Below are 14,830 nucleotides of genomic sequence, written 5' to 3' on the forward strand. Positions count from 1 at the left end.
TGTATCTGCTAAATTTCAGCTAAATATTAACAATTATGGAAGCTAATGTTTCAGAGAATTAATCAGCTATTATTTCAAATTGCAGGCTAAATCACAAATGGAACCCAAGCTAAATCTTGTTATACATAAATATTAGTAGTAGTTAACATTTACTGAGTACTTATTATGTGTCAGCACTAAGATAAGACCTTTACATAAACTATTTTAGCTACCCCAAAAGTCCTGTGATAAGGATATTATTATCCTCACTTTAAACATGAAAGAAACAAAGACTTAGTGAGATTTGGTAATCAGCCAGGAATCAGGATCCCACAATTCATAAGTTTCTTTATGACTCCAAATCCTTAGCATATTTTAAAATATATTTAAATATGTATTAGTATTTATTGCTCCACTTTCGATTTTTCGATTTTTGTCATCAAAACTAATATTGGGTTTGTGGCCCCCTGCTTCTTTCTTTTTTTTTTTTTTTTTTTTTTTTTGAGACGGAGTCTTGCTCTGTTGCCCAGGCTGGAGTGCAGTGGCCTGATCTCGACTCACTGCAAGCTCTGCCTCCTGGGTTCACGCCATTCTCTGGCCTCAGGCTCCCAAGTAGCTGGGACTACAGGTGCCTGCCACCTCACCCAGCTAATTTTTTTGTATTTTTAGTAGAGACAGGGTTTCACCATGTTAGCCAGGATGGTCTCGATCTCCTGACCTCGTGATCTGCCCGCCTCAGCCTCCCAAAGTGCTGGGATTACAGGTGTGAGCCACCGCACCCTGCCTTCTTTCTCATTTTTAATCTTCCTATTCACAACAGAATATATCTTCTTCCTTAAAACAATTTCAACTTTGTGTCTCTCTCTTTTAAAAAAAAAAAAAAACAAAAAAACTTCAGTCTTAGATACAAAATAACATGCAAAAAGGAAACCAGAAACTTGAAAACATGCCAGGTAATACTCCCTTTATGTCACAGTCCCTGTATTATGTATCAACAAAATTTTACACCAGAGTGGTAAAATTCAACTTGATTGCAATCTCACATTCCCTTTCTTTTTTAGGACATTTGCCTCTTGCTCCAATTAACTCTTTTTACTTTCATGATTCCTATACAAGGCCCACACTTTGTACTGTTTAAATCCTAATGCTTTTTATAATCCAGAGAATCCAGTCACTGCTGCAGACCCAGGATAGCCAAAAACTCAGGCCCACCACCTCTGGCTACCACTGGCCTCCTCCTTTTGTCTTAGTGGACCATGAGCCTTGTCATTTTGTAACTGAGCCATGACTCAAAAAGAGGCAGGAAGTATTCTTTTTTTTTTTTTTTTTTTTTTTTTTCTGAGACGGAGTCTCGCTCTGTCTCCTGGGCTGGACTGCAGTGGCAGGATCTTGGCTCACTGCAAGCTCCGCCTCCCAGGTTCATGCCATTCTCCTTCCTCAGCTAGGACTACAGGCGCCCGCCACTGAGCCCGGCTAATTTTTTGTGTTTTTAGTAGAGATGGGGTTTCACCGTGTTAGCCAGGATGGTCTCGATCTCCTGACCTGGTCATCTGCCCGCCTTGGCCTCCCAAAGTGCTGGGATTACAGGCATGAGCCACCGCGCCTGGCCTGAAAGTATTCTAAATACTCCAACAAACAGGACCATTCTGTAGTTCAGTTGTTTTTCAAAAACAACTTTAATAGCGTTTCTGTTAATATAATTTTATGCAGAAAGCTAATATGTATATATAAGAAAAAAGCAAATATCTTATTGAAACTCCAGAAACTTGATGACCCCACTCTTGCCAATCCCTGACCTGTCTGAGGGACTCTTGGTATCTCCTGTAGCTTTCAGTAGCACTGTTGAAAACTGTGTTGAATACTTAGCAGGTATTGACTTTCTTTTTCTGATCTGGTCAGTTCCTCAGCCTTGATTACAAATAAAATCAAACAAAAATGTAGTTTATCTAGCATGCATTTTCCTTCTTGGTAAAACTAAACACGAAAAATGCATACTTATTAAATAGAATTTTTTGAAATGTTAGAAATAAAATATAATGGCTTTTATTAAAATGTTATTAAAGTACTCAATAAAATCAATAAAAGATGTCCAAGTTGTTGCAGGCCGCACAATTGACAGTGAAATAGTGTCTGTCAAAATTGCAGCTTAGTTGTCGAAACACCTGTGCAGGCTCAGCCTCGGGACCTGTGAGAGTGGCTGTAACAGCCACTCAAGTCTCAAGTGAATCAACATTATTTTGTATAGTGCCTTCTTCAAACCTAAATCTTCTGCTTGCTTCTCCCACTTTAAAATAATTATCTCCATTCCCTTATCTTCAAATTGTTTCTCTGCTCACTCTGATTTGATTTCTATTTCTACAATTCTGCAAGGAAATAAAAATAAAAACAACTTCTTCAAATGACCTCTTTGTTGCTAAATCCAAAATCCTTACCTTATTCGCTTTCAGGCATTTCCCTAATGAAGTTCCTTTTTCTCTATTGTAGCAGTGGTCCTCAGTGGTTACTCAGGTTTCTTTATTTCAGTCTCTTTCCCTACTTGCTCCTTCTCTCTTATCCTGAATGGTCATGCTTACCAGGGTTGGGTTCTCAGGCCTCTTCCTTTTTAAACAAATCTGCATGCTTCCCCAGGTAATTTGATTCCGACTTATTGATTTCACCCATTATAAATATAGGTTGATGATTCTCAAATTTCAATTTCTAGCTCCCCCTGAGCTGTAAGTCCATATATCCAAGCATCAACTGGATATCTCCACTGAGCTGTCTCAACAGGTATGTCAAACTCAATGCAAAATTGAACACCTTTCCCTTCTTCAGACTGCCTTCTCTTTGACCTTTACTGATTGAGTAAATGATACCATCATTTACTCAGATATTTGTACCTGAAATTGGAAGTTAGGTTTAACATCTGTCCATGGATTGGTAGCTTCACAAACCTATAGCATAAACACTGTATCGTTATCATCTTTGAGTCTCCACTTGGAACAGTGTGTGCCACTTGTAGGTGTATAATCCATATTAAGCCTTTTCTGAAAGTAGAAGTAGTAACATGTAGTGTTTCTGGCTTCACGTTCTTCAGTGGCTCTCCCCACTCACATCAGGATAAAATTCAAAGTTCTTGCCAAGACTTTGTCATACAGCCCTTGTCTTACTTCTGCTGCCTCCTGCTTATTGCTACACCTCCAAAAGCCACTGGGCTTCAGTAGAATCCAACTACTTATTATTCTCAAAGTATGGTCAGCTCTCAAAATTTCACATCTTCTCCAGCTGGGCGCGGTGGCTCACGTCTGTAACTCCAACGCTTTGGGAGGCCAAGGTGGGCAGATCATTTGAGGTGAGGAGTTCAACACCAGACTGGCCAACATAGTGAAACCCTGTTTTCAATAAAAGTACAAAAATTAGCTGGGCGTGGTGGCGTATGCCTGTAGTCCCAGCTACTCGGGGGGCTGAAGCAGGAGAATCACTTGAACCTGGGAGGTGGAGGTTGCAGTGAGCTGAGATTGTGCCTGCACTCCAGCCTGGGCGACAGAGCAAGACTCCGTCACATCTTCTCAAATGTTTTCTCTTTGAGTTATCCCTCATGTCTTCACCAAAGTCTAGTTATTCCTCAAGACTTAGCTCAGCTATTACATTCTTTAGGAACCTCTGTAGCTTCTATAACATTCTGTGCAAACCTGTGTGAACTCATCACCATGTTATAATTACTTGCTCATTTATCCATCTACCCTACTAGTCTATGAACATAATAAGAATCAGGACTGTCTTTCATCATTGCACCACTCCAGGTAGCTGACACCTGATAGTTGAAGATTACTTGTTGAAGAGAGTAATAAGTTTTGAGAACTTCGTAAAAGAAGCTTTCTTAATTTCCTTTTAAAAAACAATGGTAAAATGTCAGTACCACTAGGGGGCACAGACTAGTAACAGAATTTTCCGGTACACTAGCTTAAAAGAGATGTTTGCCTTCTGTGGCAACCTCTTCACATAGTTTCTAAATATATGGATCTTAAAAAGTTCAACTAACTCTATTATTCCCAGAGAGATATGTTTAAATAGTTGGCTAACAGATAGAGAGCAGTGCTGACATATTAACATGTCAGAAAAAATGAAATCAGGTATGGCCAAATACGATTAACAGGGTTTTATAAATAAAGCTGAGAATAGCATTAAGAAAAAGATCAAAATGTAAATACAATTTCAAGAAATTGATACTATGAGACTTGGGACTATTTTTAAAATTTCAGCACAGAAGAGTGTCTATGCAGGGAAACTCCTACTTCCACAGGAAAAGTGAAGAGAAATATTGAAGCTATTTCTGTGTTTAGAATAAAACCTCAAATCCTCCTCCAAGATAACCAATAGAAACTTTCCAGTACTTTTCATTTGTAACAAAACCCATTAAGATTATTAATACAAAATAATAGGCTAAGTATTTTTTATTCAAAAGCTGATATAGATTAGTAGTTAAAAATCTAGTTTTGGTTCTGTTTTTGCCCTGCCTCAGCTAATTTTTAGTTTAAAAAAAAATTAACTTGTCTACACCTCAGTTTCTGCCCCTATAAATTGGATATGATTGTAGTGCCTACTTATGAAACTATTGTCACAATTAAGTGAAATTTATTTTGTTTTATTTTATTTTATTTTGAGACACAGTCTCACCCTCTGTTGCCCAGGCTAGAGTGCAGTGGCACCATCTTGGCTCACTACAACCTCCACTTCCCAGGTTCAAGCGATTCTCATGCCTCAGCCTCCTGAGTAGCTGGGATTACAGGCACCTGCCACCATGCCCAGCTAATTTTTCTATTTTTTAGTAGAGACGGGGTTTCACTGTGTTGGCCAGGATGGTCTTGAACTCCTGATCTCAAGTGATCCACCCACTTTGGCCTCCCAAAGTGCTGGGATTACAGGCATGAGCTACCACATCCGGCCTGAAATAATTACTGTAAACCACAGTGCCTAACACATACAAAACACATGATAAGTATTTGCTATTATTTTGCTTCAACAATTGTGATCAGCACAATATTTCAGTAATTCCTAGAAACAGTAATTTTGTTAGCTGCTGGAATAAAAATGGTGAGAACTTGTTGAGCCCTTTCCGCACTATTTCTCTACCAGCCTCTCCTTACAGCCACACTCATTCACACCCACCTCCTTTCTGCATCCCTGGGGCAGAGGTTGTTCTGAAGAACACTGTCCCATTTGCCATGTGAGGTAGGCCTGGGACTCCTACTGTGTTATGACTCTCATGCAGTCTGGTGAGGCTCATATGATCTCTGACGTTGTCCTGGGTTCTCTGATTAATTTCTGCTTGTTGAAGAAAGAGCGTGAGAAGTTTGTATCATAACTCTTAGAGATAAGAATTGTTGATGACTGATCAAAACAAATGGTATATTATGCTGATACATTTAAAATAATAGCAGGAGATAAATATGTTTACTGAACCAATGGTTATGATATCTATGAAATGCAATATAGCTGTTATGCTTATTGGTTTGGTTATGGCCTGATTGGAAGGAAATAAAAGCTAAGGAGAAGGGTGGTAGCTTAAAGGGACTCCTATTCAGGAGTCTGGAGACTTCAGTTCTACCCCTAAGCTTACAAGGCAAATTGCTGAGCCCTGTGCACATCATTAAACAGCAGCCAATCATGAATTTCCATTTCTCCATTAGTGCATTTTCTTTTTGTTGATTATTTTCTACTTTTTAAGTTTTATATTTGCCCCTTCATTATTTTCCCAAGCAGACTCATGTCACATGCATTTCCTTTTTATTATAGGGTTTAAGAATTCTATTTATCATTCCCTGTCTGATTAGCCCAGGAATTTCACAATGGATCAATATGCACCCATATCACTAAAGAGTGGCTACTAAAGAGCGTATCTTGTAGTAGGAGATAGGCGCAAATGAGAAAATGGGTAGGCATGAAGAAGAAGGAAAGTGGGAGAGTGAGTCATTGATGCTTTGTGAAACTCGTCCAGATCCAGTTATTCTGCCCCTCTTATGAGCATTGAAAGTCTTTTTTTTGTGCATCTCTAGCTCATGTATAGAATTTCAAATATTATTATTTCAGAGTACCTTTCAGAAGAATAATACAATGGGATAGAAAACACACTGAGGCCAGGAGCAGTGGCTCACGCCTGTAATCCCAGCACTTTGAGAGGCTGAGGTGGAAGAATTGCTTGAGTTCAGGAGTTGGAGACCAGCCTGGGCAAAACAGCAAGACCCCATCTCCAAAAAAGAAAAAGAAACACACTAAAATAAAATATCTCTAGAAACTATGTTCAGTTGAAACCATATCCATGTAGACTTCAGAAAATGTTTCCAAGGTCATAAATTTCAGGCAAGCATCTTAAGAGAATGAATGAGTAAAAGCAAACACATCTCAAAAGATGGGGAGGGCCAATCAACTCACATACTTTACACTAGCAGTTAACATTTGCCTTTACCTCTTCATAATGCTCTAATGTAATTATAATGCATAGAATATACACTGTTTTACTCACTGCTCAGTATGCCTATCCTCTTTTCTAAATTTGAATTTTAATATTTCAGCAAAACGAACTAATAAAAGGCAGTTTCCTAGCAACGTCTGTATTCAAAGGAACAACAACAAAGCTTAATCGCAAACACCTTATTTTCTCCAAAGTTAATTCCCGTCTTTTGAGGGAAGTTAGCAGGTAGCAAATAAAGCAAGGTGCAAACAGAGGCTCTTGTAGGAGAGGTTGGCACAGACTCACTTGGCTTTTTCTTTCTGGGCATTGAAAGGTAGGAAGGTTAGAACTTCAGCTAAGCCAGTCTTTCCCAATGGTTGCAGTCAGAGATTGATACAAAACCCCAGAACTGTTTGCTATTTTATCCATTCTCTGCTGGAGATGCAGATTGATTGGTGGAAGGAACAGTGAACTAGGAAGCCAGGTTGTTGGATTCCTAGTAACTCTCACACTACCCGCGAAAACTTGAGCAGGCCCTCTTTTTCTGGGCTGTGTATCCAAATGGCGGTTACTCTAGAAGACATAAGTGAAAGGTCCTTCTCAGCAGCTCAAAACGGCTACCAGTAACCGGGTCTTTTTTATTTTTTAATTAAGCTTAAATGGCATTTGCTTAATCAATAATACAGTTTCACTAGAACTAATGCTGCATCCCCAGAAAAGCATCACTTAGAAATTAAACAGCTGGCTGTCTTCCAGGGAAACGTGTCCCTGTGTCCTGCCTTCCTGAGACTTCTTGCCTGCACGCGGGGCCCAGCCGCGCCAGAGAGATGGAAGTGACTTTACCTACCCAGCGAAAGTAGCAGTCTGCAACAAGGAAAACAGCTAAGTTAAGAGGAAGTGGTTTTCATTTTACTGCTTGCAGAAAGGCCAAGATTTTGACGTTTAAAGCGGGCACACGAGTCATTTTAAGTCTCTAGATCTTTCACCCTGAAAGTCCCTGCACAGAAACTCCATAGGGAGTCTAAATATAGCAACAGCACCCCCTCCCGCCCCCTCCGCCTTCAGTCAGGGTCCCGCGCAGCTCTAGGATTGGAGAGCTTACTCCAGGGCGCTCTCTGCATCTGCCTCGAATAGCACCGCACGGAGCAACCTCTCTCGCACCTCCACAGTGCGTGGGTGTGAAGTGTATTAGGGGAAAGCTAGAGAGTGACTCTGGGTGATGGTGCTCGGCTCACAGTCACATGGCGTCGCCGCCAGCTGCACAGAGCTCCCAGCTAGCTTCTGCTGCCCAGAGGCTTGGGGGGAAGGAGGGAGGGAAGCAGGCTCCTGCTGGTGACCAGGAGCAGGCGAGAGGGCTTCACACAAATAATAGTGATAATAAAGAGTAAAAGCAAAGCATTTAAATCGAGCTATTGCAGAAGACAGAAATCAGCTGCCGCGGGCGTGGGTGTGTGTACAGGGTGGGGGAGAATTGGGAAAGTATTTATCTCGGAGGGGCGGAGACAGCTGCAAGAAGACTTTTGTCTTAGCATTGTTTTAGCCTTAGGAAAGGAAAAGGCCCGAAGGAATCCACCTTGCAACTATCTGCTATGTCTTTGTGGTGGAAGCTTAGTTTTGCCTTCAATTTAATTTGATGATTTTCTTTCATATTTGGGGAAGAGCCACTCTGTTGGAAGAAGTCCCCGAGCCTGGCACCCTTCAGTTTTCCCTATGCTGAATGTGAGATTTAAACTGCCTTTTCTTTGTAATACACTGTTTCTGAAGGCCAGAGGCTGCGGCCAGTGGCACCGTGGCCTCTCTCTCCGCCAAGGGCGCATAGGCTTTGGGCCACCCGGGTGCCAGGGGTGGTGGAAGACCCAGTCAGTTGTTCCTTGCAACAGGTCTCTAAGCTTGTATGTTACAACATAAGGTGGGTGGGGTCGGAACCCCGAAAAGCCGGCGTCCTGGACACCCCATCCTCCAGGTGTTCTTTCCCAGACACTGGGTCCTCGCCGCCGCTGCTGAACTTCTCAATCATATGACTTTCTCGGACTTAAATGGAAATTTCTTGACGGAGGGAACTGGGTTTGTTCTCCCAGGCTTCGCGCTGCAGTCAGGCAGAGCCCCGGGGCAGCTCGCTCACCGCGGAGGAGCCACTTTGGAGTTTTACGCCCTTTCCACACCCCACCCATGGACTGGAAAGGATGTTCAGTTACTCGCGAGCTTGTCTGATACTGGGATGGAAAGTCACAGTCCGCAGGCTGGAGTGAGGCGCGGGAAGATGCCTGGTCCTTGCCTCGCGGACTTGGCAGCCGCGTCCTGCGGGTCTGTCCACTGAACTGCTGAGGACTCGCCCGTGTGCGGGGACCCGAGTGCCACTTCCCGGAGCGTTACCTTGCGCTCCAGCCTCCAGGCTAGATAATACCTGGAAGGCAGGGCAGGGCTGTTCCCGCTCTCACCCCTTGCGGAAGGATGGCAGGATCCGGCGCAGCGACGTAGCAGCGGGAGGGCACAGCGACCTGCATCTCCAGTTTCTCCTCAGGACACAAGGCTGACTTCACCTTCCGGACAGCTGCAAAGCCCCTGCCAGAACCAAACCGAACTCGCGCCTCGGAGAGGGGCTTCTGGGGCCGTTTCGCTGCAGGGCGTGGGGAGTGGAGAGAGGGAAGGGGAAGCCTGGGGCTGGGTGTGCGCGCGTGGGAGCGCGCCTCGGAGCGCCCCGCACTCCCCCACTCTATCCCCGGGGGCAGTTTGGGAAGGAGGGAGTGGTAGTCGCGGGAATGAGGGAGCAAGAGAAACCCTCTCAAAGTGACGCCCCAAACAGGTCCGGATTTAGAATTCGAAGCTAAAGGCTGTTAGAAATTGGGACTCCTCGGCCTCCTCTGCAGCCCCTCCTTTCCCGCCCCGAAGCCCGGGCGGTTTGCTGGCTGCCTGCTTCCCCGCCCCCGGCTCAGAGGTCTCTGGCTGGCGGGCGCCCCGTCGGCCGCCGGCTTCCTCCTTGAAACCCGCCGGCGCACATGAGGCCGCTGCCCCCGCCGCAGGCGCTGGCGGCCCCCTCGCGGTGCCCGTGGTGATGCCATGCCCCGCCACCACGCGGGAGGAGAGGAGGGCGGCGCCGCCGGGCTCTGGGTGAAGAGCGGCGCAGCGGCGGCGGCGGCGGGCGGGGGGCGCTTGGGCAGCGGCATGAAGGATGTGGAGTCCGGCCGGGGCAGGGTGCTGCTGAACTCGGCAGCCGCCAGGGGCGACGGCCTGCTACTGCTGGGCACCCGCGCGGCCACGCTCGGTGGCGGCGGCGGTGGCCTGAGGGAGAGCCGCCGGGGCAAGCAGGGGGCCCGGATGAGCCTGCTGGGGAAGCCGCTCTCTTACACGAGTAGCCAGAGCTGCCGGCGCAACGTCAAGTACCGGCGGGTGCAGAACTACCTGTACAACGTGCTGGAGAGACCCCGCGGCTGGGCGTTCATCTACCACGCTTTCGTGTGAGTACCCGCGCCCCCTGCTATGCCCGCTGCAGGGGACCACTGTCCCTGGCCCCCTGGGGCGTGCTCCGCGCTCGCGCCCTTGGGCCCCCGCGCGCGTGCACACGTGGTGGCTTTTATTTCTTCGCACGTGTTCGTGGTCTTCCTTCTGGAGCCTCTCCCCTCCCCCAGCCCCACTTCTCTCATCTCTACAGCTTGAACCTTTTCCCCGAGGACACCCAATGAACTGCCCGGTAGCTTCAGGCTCCCGGGGCGAGAGCCAGGCAGACGCGGGACTTAGGCTGCGCGGATAATTGGGAGCAATTAGGTCCCAAGATACGTAAACTTCAACCGAACGGGGCGCCCGGGAGCTAGGGAATGCAAAGGGAGGACAGGCGCCCGTGTGAGGCTTGAGAGTATACTGGAGAGGTTAGGAGGTGATGGCGGGGTAGGACGGGGAGAAGTGAGGGGGCATCGAGGGCTAGGTCCTCAGTCCTAGGGGCGGAGTAGGGGAAGCTGCTACTTGGAGAGAGCTGCTAGGTTTTAAGCGCGCCCGGAAACACGCCTCGCCACCACCCAGCCACCACCAACGGAAAATCTGTCAGTGCATGTAGCCCTTCCTGCCACGGAGAAGGTGGCCAAGGTCTAGAGGAGGCCAGCAGGCCAGGCGAAGCAACGCTCCCGCGCTGCAGGGGGCGGGGAGGCAGCGGGGAACCTGGGGCGCAGGAACGCGGGCGGAGGTGCGATAGCAGAAGCGCAAATGGGTCGCCTCTGACAGAGATCGGGCAGTGGGTTAAGTCCCCGTTTGTGGCGCGGAGTCAAAGAGTGTGTGTGTGTGTGTGTGTGTGTGTGTGTGTGTGTAGTAAGCCTTCTCCATCTAGCAGAGAATGCTTAATGAGAAAATGATTGGAAGCAAATGTTTATTTTTCCCTTAGGCATTTAAAACCTTTCAGTGGCTTTAAAGTTTACTACTGTTTTTCCCACAAAGTCCATTCATTCAGTCTCCTATTAGAGTTACGTTTATCTGGGCATTTTAAGGTTGTTTTTATAATGTTACCTCGTGTCTAATTCTTTTTTTCTTCCTCTTCTCCTTTTGCTTCCTCTTTTTTTAGTATTATTATTTCTGCTTCTTTTTTGTTAAGATGAAATATAAAGACATCAACCTTAGAAGACCAGTAGAGAAAGTTGCAGATACTCGCTGATACATTCCTTGTTTCCTAGTAAAATAAGTTTTGAGCACACGGACTAGGTTTCTTTTAGAAATAAGTTATGTCATCCATACATAGCTCTCTCCTGGGATGCAGAATTAGCATCAACACCAGAAACGTGTTTTGAAATAACATGGAAGAAGGGCTGGTTTTGTAACTAGGTGAACCTGGAATTCAACCACATAGGAGTCAGGAAATTGGTGGAGTCTACAATCTGTGGGGCTCTGGTGTCTGGAAAATTTTACAGTCCCAGATTGACGTGAACATGTAGCATTAGGCAGAATATTCCAGCCAACTTTCCGTTTTACAATGCACACAAGGAGAACGGTTGTGTTGCATCATCATTACATCAAAAAGTATAACTTTTATGTAAAATTCACATTTATTTAAATGTGGTTAGGATAATGATAGAGAAATGCAACTGACACTTTTCTCGTTAATCTCCTCTGACCTGATATGTAATTAAACATATTACTTAATAAGCCTGGTAAATTATTTTGACCTGTCAGAATATACTAAAATAATTTAGCAATTATAATGCTCAATTTGGTAGCAAATATATATACTGTATAGGTTATGATTTTTTCTTTACAACAGTATGCTCAAAACATTTCTAGCCTTTCTTTTTTTTATATTATGCATTGTATATTCAGAGAGAGTTAAAGAAAGCCTTGGTTGGTGCACATACTTTGCATCTCCTAACTTGTTCTTGAACATGAATGAGAACTTGCAACACAACATTTTCTTTTCCATGTGTTGGTGTTAACAGGTTTGTATGGGCTTACAGAATTTTAAAACATTAATAAATGATTTTTCCAAAGGTTCAAGGTTGGATACTTCTCTGTCTACCAGGCTTTATCAGTCTAGCAGTATCTTTAGTAGTAGACAGGAAATAAATTGTGTACTTAATAGATGTAGCAAATGTGAAGTTTTGATTATACATTTTAGAGTCTGAAACTGCAATGCCTCAGCAATTAGATAGGGGTGCTATATCCACATTAGCACAAAGAGGGAATGGATAGTATCATCTTTTGGGAGGATTGTGCACAACTAAGCAGACCCTGAGGAAAGAGGCCATCTTTGGCAGTTGCTGCTTGTGATTTTAAATGAGCTTTAGAATAGCCAGACTTTACACATTACATTCATTTATCGAAGTTGCTTTATGCTGTAAGTTTAACTAGACCCCAATAAAATAATTTCGAGAGAGGTGTAACTAACTAATTCCCTGCCAGCTTGGGAATCCCCAAATCTTATTTTAATAACAGTATTTGTAGCATATTAAGGTTCTTGCCAAGAACAAGTGCACCGTGATTAATGAGGTACTTCAGGGGTGAATTTACTTGGTCAACCAGTGTTTTCACTGCCAAGAAACAAGAAAAGCATGTTTAAAGTTATGCTTGAGGTAAATATAAATTTCTATTATTTATGCAAAAATAATTATTATAATGGTATTTTAGGGTTATAAAATGTCTTTTCAAGAGTACATATCCTAGCCTATTGATAGGATGGCTGGACAGAGCAAGGGATGACCTACTTCAAATATTTTCCCTTAAACTTTATAAATTAGTGGAGATTAGGAGATCCTTGCCCTTACTATTCTTTAGGATTTACCTGACAGCCATATTTCCTATCTTCAACTTTTCTTCATTTTATTAGTGTGCTATTCAAACATGAGGTGGCTCATTTCCCTGAATGTTGTTTGTCCCTTTTTAATTCCTCCTTGTTTAAGGAAAATTTTGAAGAATAATGAGGGTAGTAGGGGGACACAGGATGAGGCTTCATATATAAATTTGCGTTGATGCAGCAAATGTGGTTCTGAGAAGTTACATGGGAAACGGTGTTGCAGATACATGTAATTGATCACTTTGCCTAATGTATCTTTGCCTGACTTAATGCTATGGATGTGAATTATAGATATTAAACAAGGAGACAAGAAGAAGTCACCCAAGCTAGGAGCTCTGAAGTCATCCTTTTTCTCATACTTACTCCTTCTGGTCAGGCAAAAGGTCATTAACTATTGTTTGTTTACTTTATAGGTATTTTTCAAATACATTCCCTTTTCTTCTTTACCACTTCTATTCCATTCTGTTTCTTACCTCTCCATTAGATGATTTGTAATATTCTCCTGCCTGATCATCTGGTTTCTGTTCTCAGCCTTCTCTCTGCTCTAACATCATAGTATTGTTCGTAAAATGCAAATCTTATCATATCATCCCCTTGCCTAAAATATTTCCATGACTCTTATCATCTACTCCTTCATCTATGTATCCATCTACAATTATTAGAGTGTGTAATATGTGCTAATTCCCAAATTAACAAGGCAAAGGCCTCCACTCTGGAGGAAGGAAAAGACGCCAGCAAGGGACTACTACAAGCCTGTGAACAAGTGTGAAACAATGTTATTGGTGTGCTTAGAGAGAGAGGTTACAAAGTGACATGAGAAAAGAAAAAGAAGTGAAGCCCGGGCAGAAAAGTCAGCACAGGCTTCAAAGGGGAAGTGAGGTGTAAGCTGAGTTTCCACAAATGAGTAGTTAATTTTCAGGTGGGCATAGCAGGAGGGAATGAACAATCTTGACAGAGAAAACAGCTTGAGTAAAGATATGGAGTTGTGAATCAGCACAGTAATTCTAGGTACTGTTAAGTATTTTCAGGGTGAGGAAAGCCACAAGAAAGGGTGGTAGAGCAAAAGGCAAATCACCAATCTGTTGGATAGATTCTGATGCTGACCATAGAATCTTGTATTTATCCTGTAGGCAGTAGTGGTCATTGAATGGTGATAATCAGGGGAATGATATAATCAGATATAAATTTTGGAAAGATCTGCCTTTCATTAGTTCAGCAAATAAATTGGAGTGCAAAATGGAGTCAATATGGCCTATAAGGAGATGATACCAATTGTGAGAATTTTCCATTCATTGTTGCATTCATTTATTCATAAACTTATTCTGTGAAATGTCTGTTGACTATCGACTATATGCTGTGGATCATACTAGAAAGGTGAGAGATGATTGCCTAAGGAACTAAGGCAGTAACTGTGGAGATGAGAAGGAGGAGTTTAACCAAAGAAATGTTAAGGAGATAAAATTTGCAGATTGTTTTCACCAGTCTGACATGTGGTATGAGGAAGATGATTCTGACTTGGTTGATTTGAGGAATGGAAGTGCCATTCACTAATATATGGGACAAAGAGTGAAGGGCACATATTCTGGTGAATATAATGGGTTCGGATTTGAACATGTTGGGCTTTTTGAGTCATTCAGGTGGAGATTTTAAGTGGTGGGAACATAGCAGTGAACAAGGCACAGTCTATTTCCAACCACGTTAGATCAGCAACCAGAACTGTTTCTGGCACATAGATAACACTCAATAAAATATTTTTGAATGAATGGAATCATTTACAAATCTGGAGTTTAATCTAAATATGTAACCAGATATTTAGCTTTGAAAGCCTCTGTCAGTTTTGTGGTAATTAAAGCAATAAGTAGAAAAAATGAGATAGTCCAAAGAATATATAGAGTGAGTGAGGGCATAGTGGAGGCTAGAGACTGGGGAACACCAACACCAAGCAGTGGATGAAAAAGTAAGAGCCAATGGAAGAACCTGGGAAAAGCTTTACAGCAACCCAAAGGCCGAGGGAAAGCCTGGGAGATCTTATTTTCATGAAAGCAAAGGAAGATGCATACGGAAAAAAGGTTATGGCCAGCAGTTTCCAATGCTGCAGAAAGGACTAGAAAAGTTAGGTAAGATTTCATTGGATTTCTTATGAAGGAGGCCACTGG

The 14,830-nt window shown here is 43.6% G+C and overlaps 1 protein-coding gene and 1 long non-coding RNA gene across 10 annotated transcripts in view, besides 4 other annotated features; one reads left to right on the top strand and one right to left on the bottom strand.

The window, feature by feature from the left end:
- Positions 1-1,636: 1,636 nt before the first annotated feature.
- KCNQ5-DT (KCNQ5 divergent transcript) lies at positions 1,637-9,956 on the bottom strand. Its single transcript, NR_186827.1, has 3 exons — positions 9,809-9,956; positions 5,128-5,283; positions 1,637-3,350 (listed from the first exon to the last, which is right to left on the bottom strand). It is a non-coding gene; the product is annotated as a KCNQ5 divergent transcript (long non-coding RNA).
- Positions 7,726-7,915: an enhancer, noted in NCBI's record as "active region_24737". NCBI's record gives its function as "activates an Ori minimal core promoter by ATAC-STARR-seq in GM12878 lymphoblastoid cells {active_cell/tissue: GM12878}" and the evidence as "EXISTENCE:reporter gene assay evidence [ECO:0000049][PMID:35858748]".
- Positions 9,336-9,595: a silencer, noted in NCBI's record as "silent region_17329". NCBI's record gives its function as "represses an Ori minimal core promoter by ATAC-STARR-seq in GM12878 lymphoblastoid cells {active_cell/tissue: GM12878}" and the evidence as "EXISTENCE:reporter gene assay evidence [ECO:0000049][PMID:35858748]".
- KCNQ5 (potassium voltage-gated channel subfamily Q member 5) overlaps positions 9,341-14,830 on the top strand; it is a 576,790-nt gene continuing 571,300 nt past the window's right edge. For all 9 annotated transcript variants that reach the window (NM_001160133.2, NM_019842.4, NM_001160134.2 and 6 more), the window contains exon 1: positions 9,341-9,864. In NM_001160133.2, coding sequence (NP_001153605.1) covers positions 9,467-9,864 — 398 coding nt within the window. In that variant the 5' untranslated portion in view covers positions 9,341-9,466. The remainder of the gene's footprint in view (positions 9,865-14,830) is intronic.
- Positions 10,026-10,977: an enhancer, noted in NCBI's record as "H3K4me1 hESC enhancer chr6:73332477-73333428 (GRCh37/hg19 assembly coordinates)". NCBI's record gives its function as "activates a minimal SCP1, AML or CMV promoter by ChIP-STARR-seq in naive H9 embryonic stem cells {active_cell/tissue: H9 hESC(naive)}" and the evidence as "EXISTENCE:reporter gene assay evidence [ECO:0000049][PMID:30033119]".
- Positions 10,626-10,675: a silencer, noted in NCBI's record as "silent region_17330". NCBI's record gives its function as "represses an Ori minimal core promoter by ATAC-STARR-seq in GM12878 lymphoblastoid cells {active_cell/tissue: GM12878}" and the evidence as "EXISTENCE:reporter gene assay evidence [ECO:0000049][PMID:35858748]".

Source organism: Homo sapiens, chromosome 6, assembly GCF_000001405.40.
Source record: "Homo sapiens chromosome 6, GRCh38.p14 Primary Assembly".
In the NCBI taxonomy this organism is placed as follows: Eukaryota; Metazoa; Chordata; class Mammalia; order Primates; family Hominidae; genus Homo; species Homo sapiens.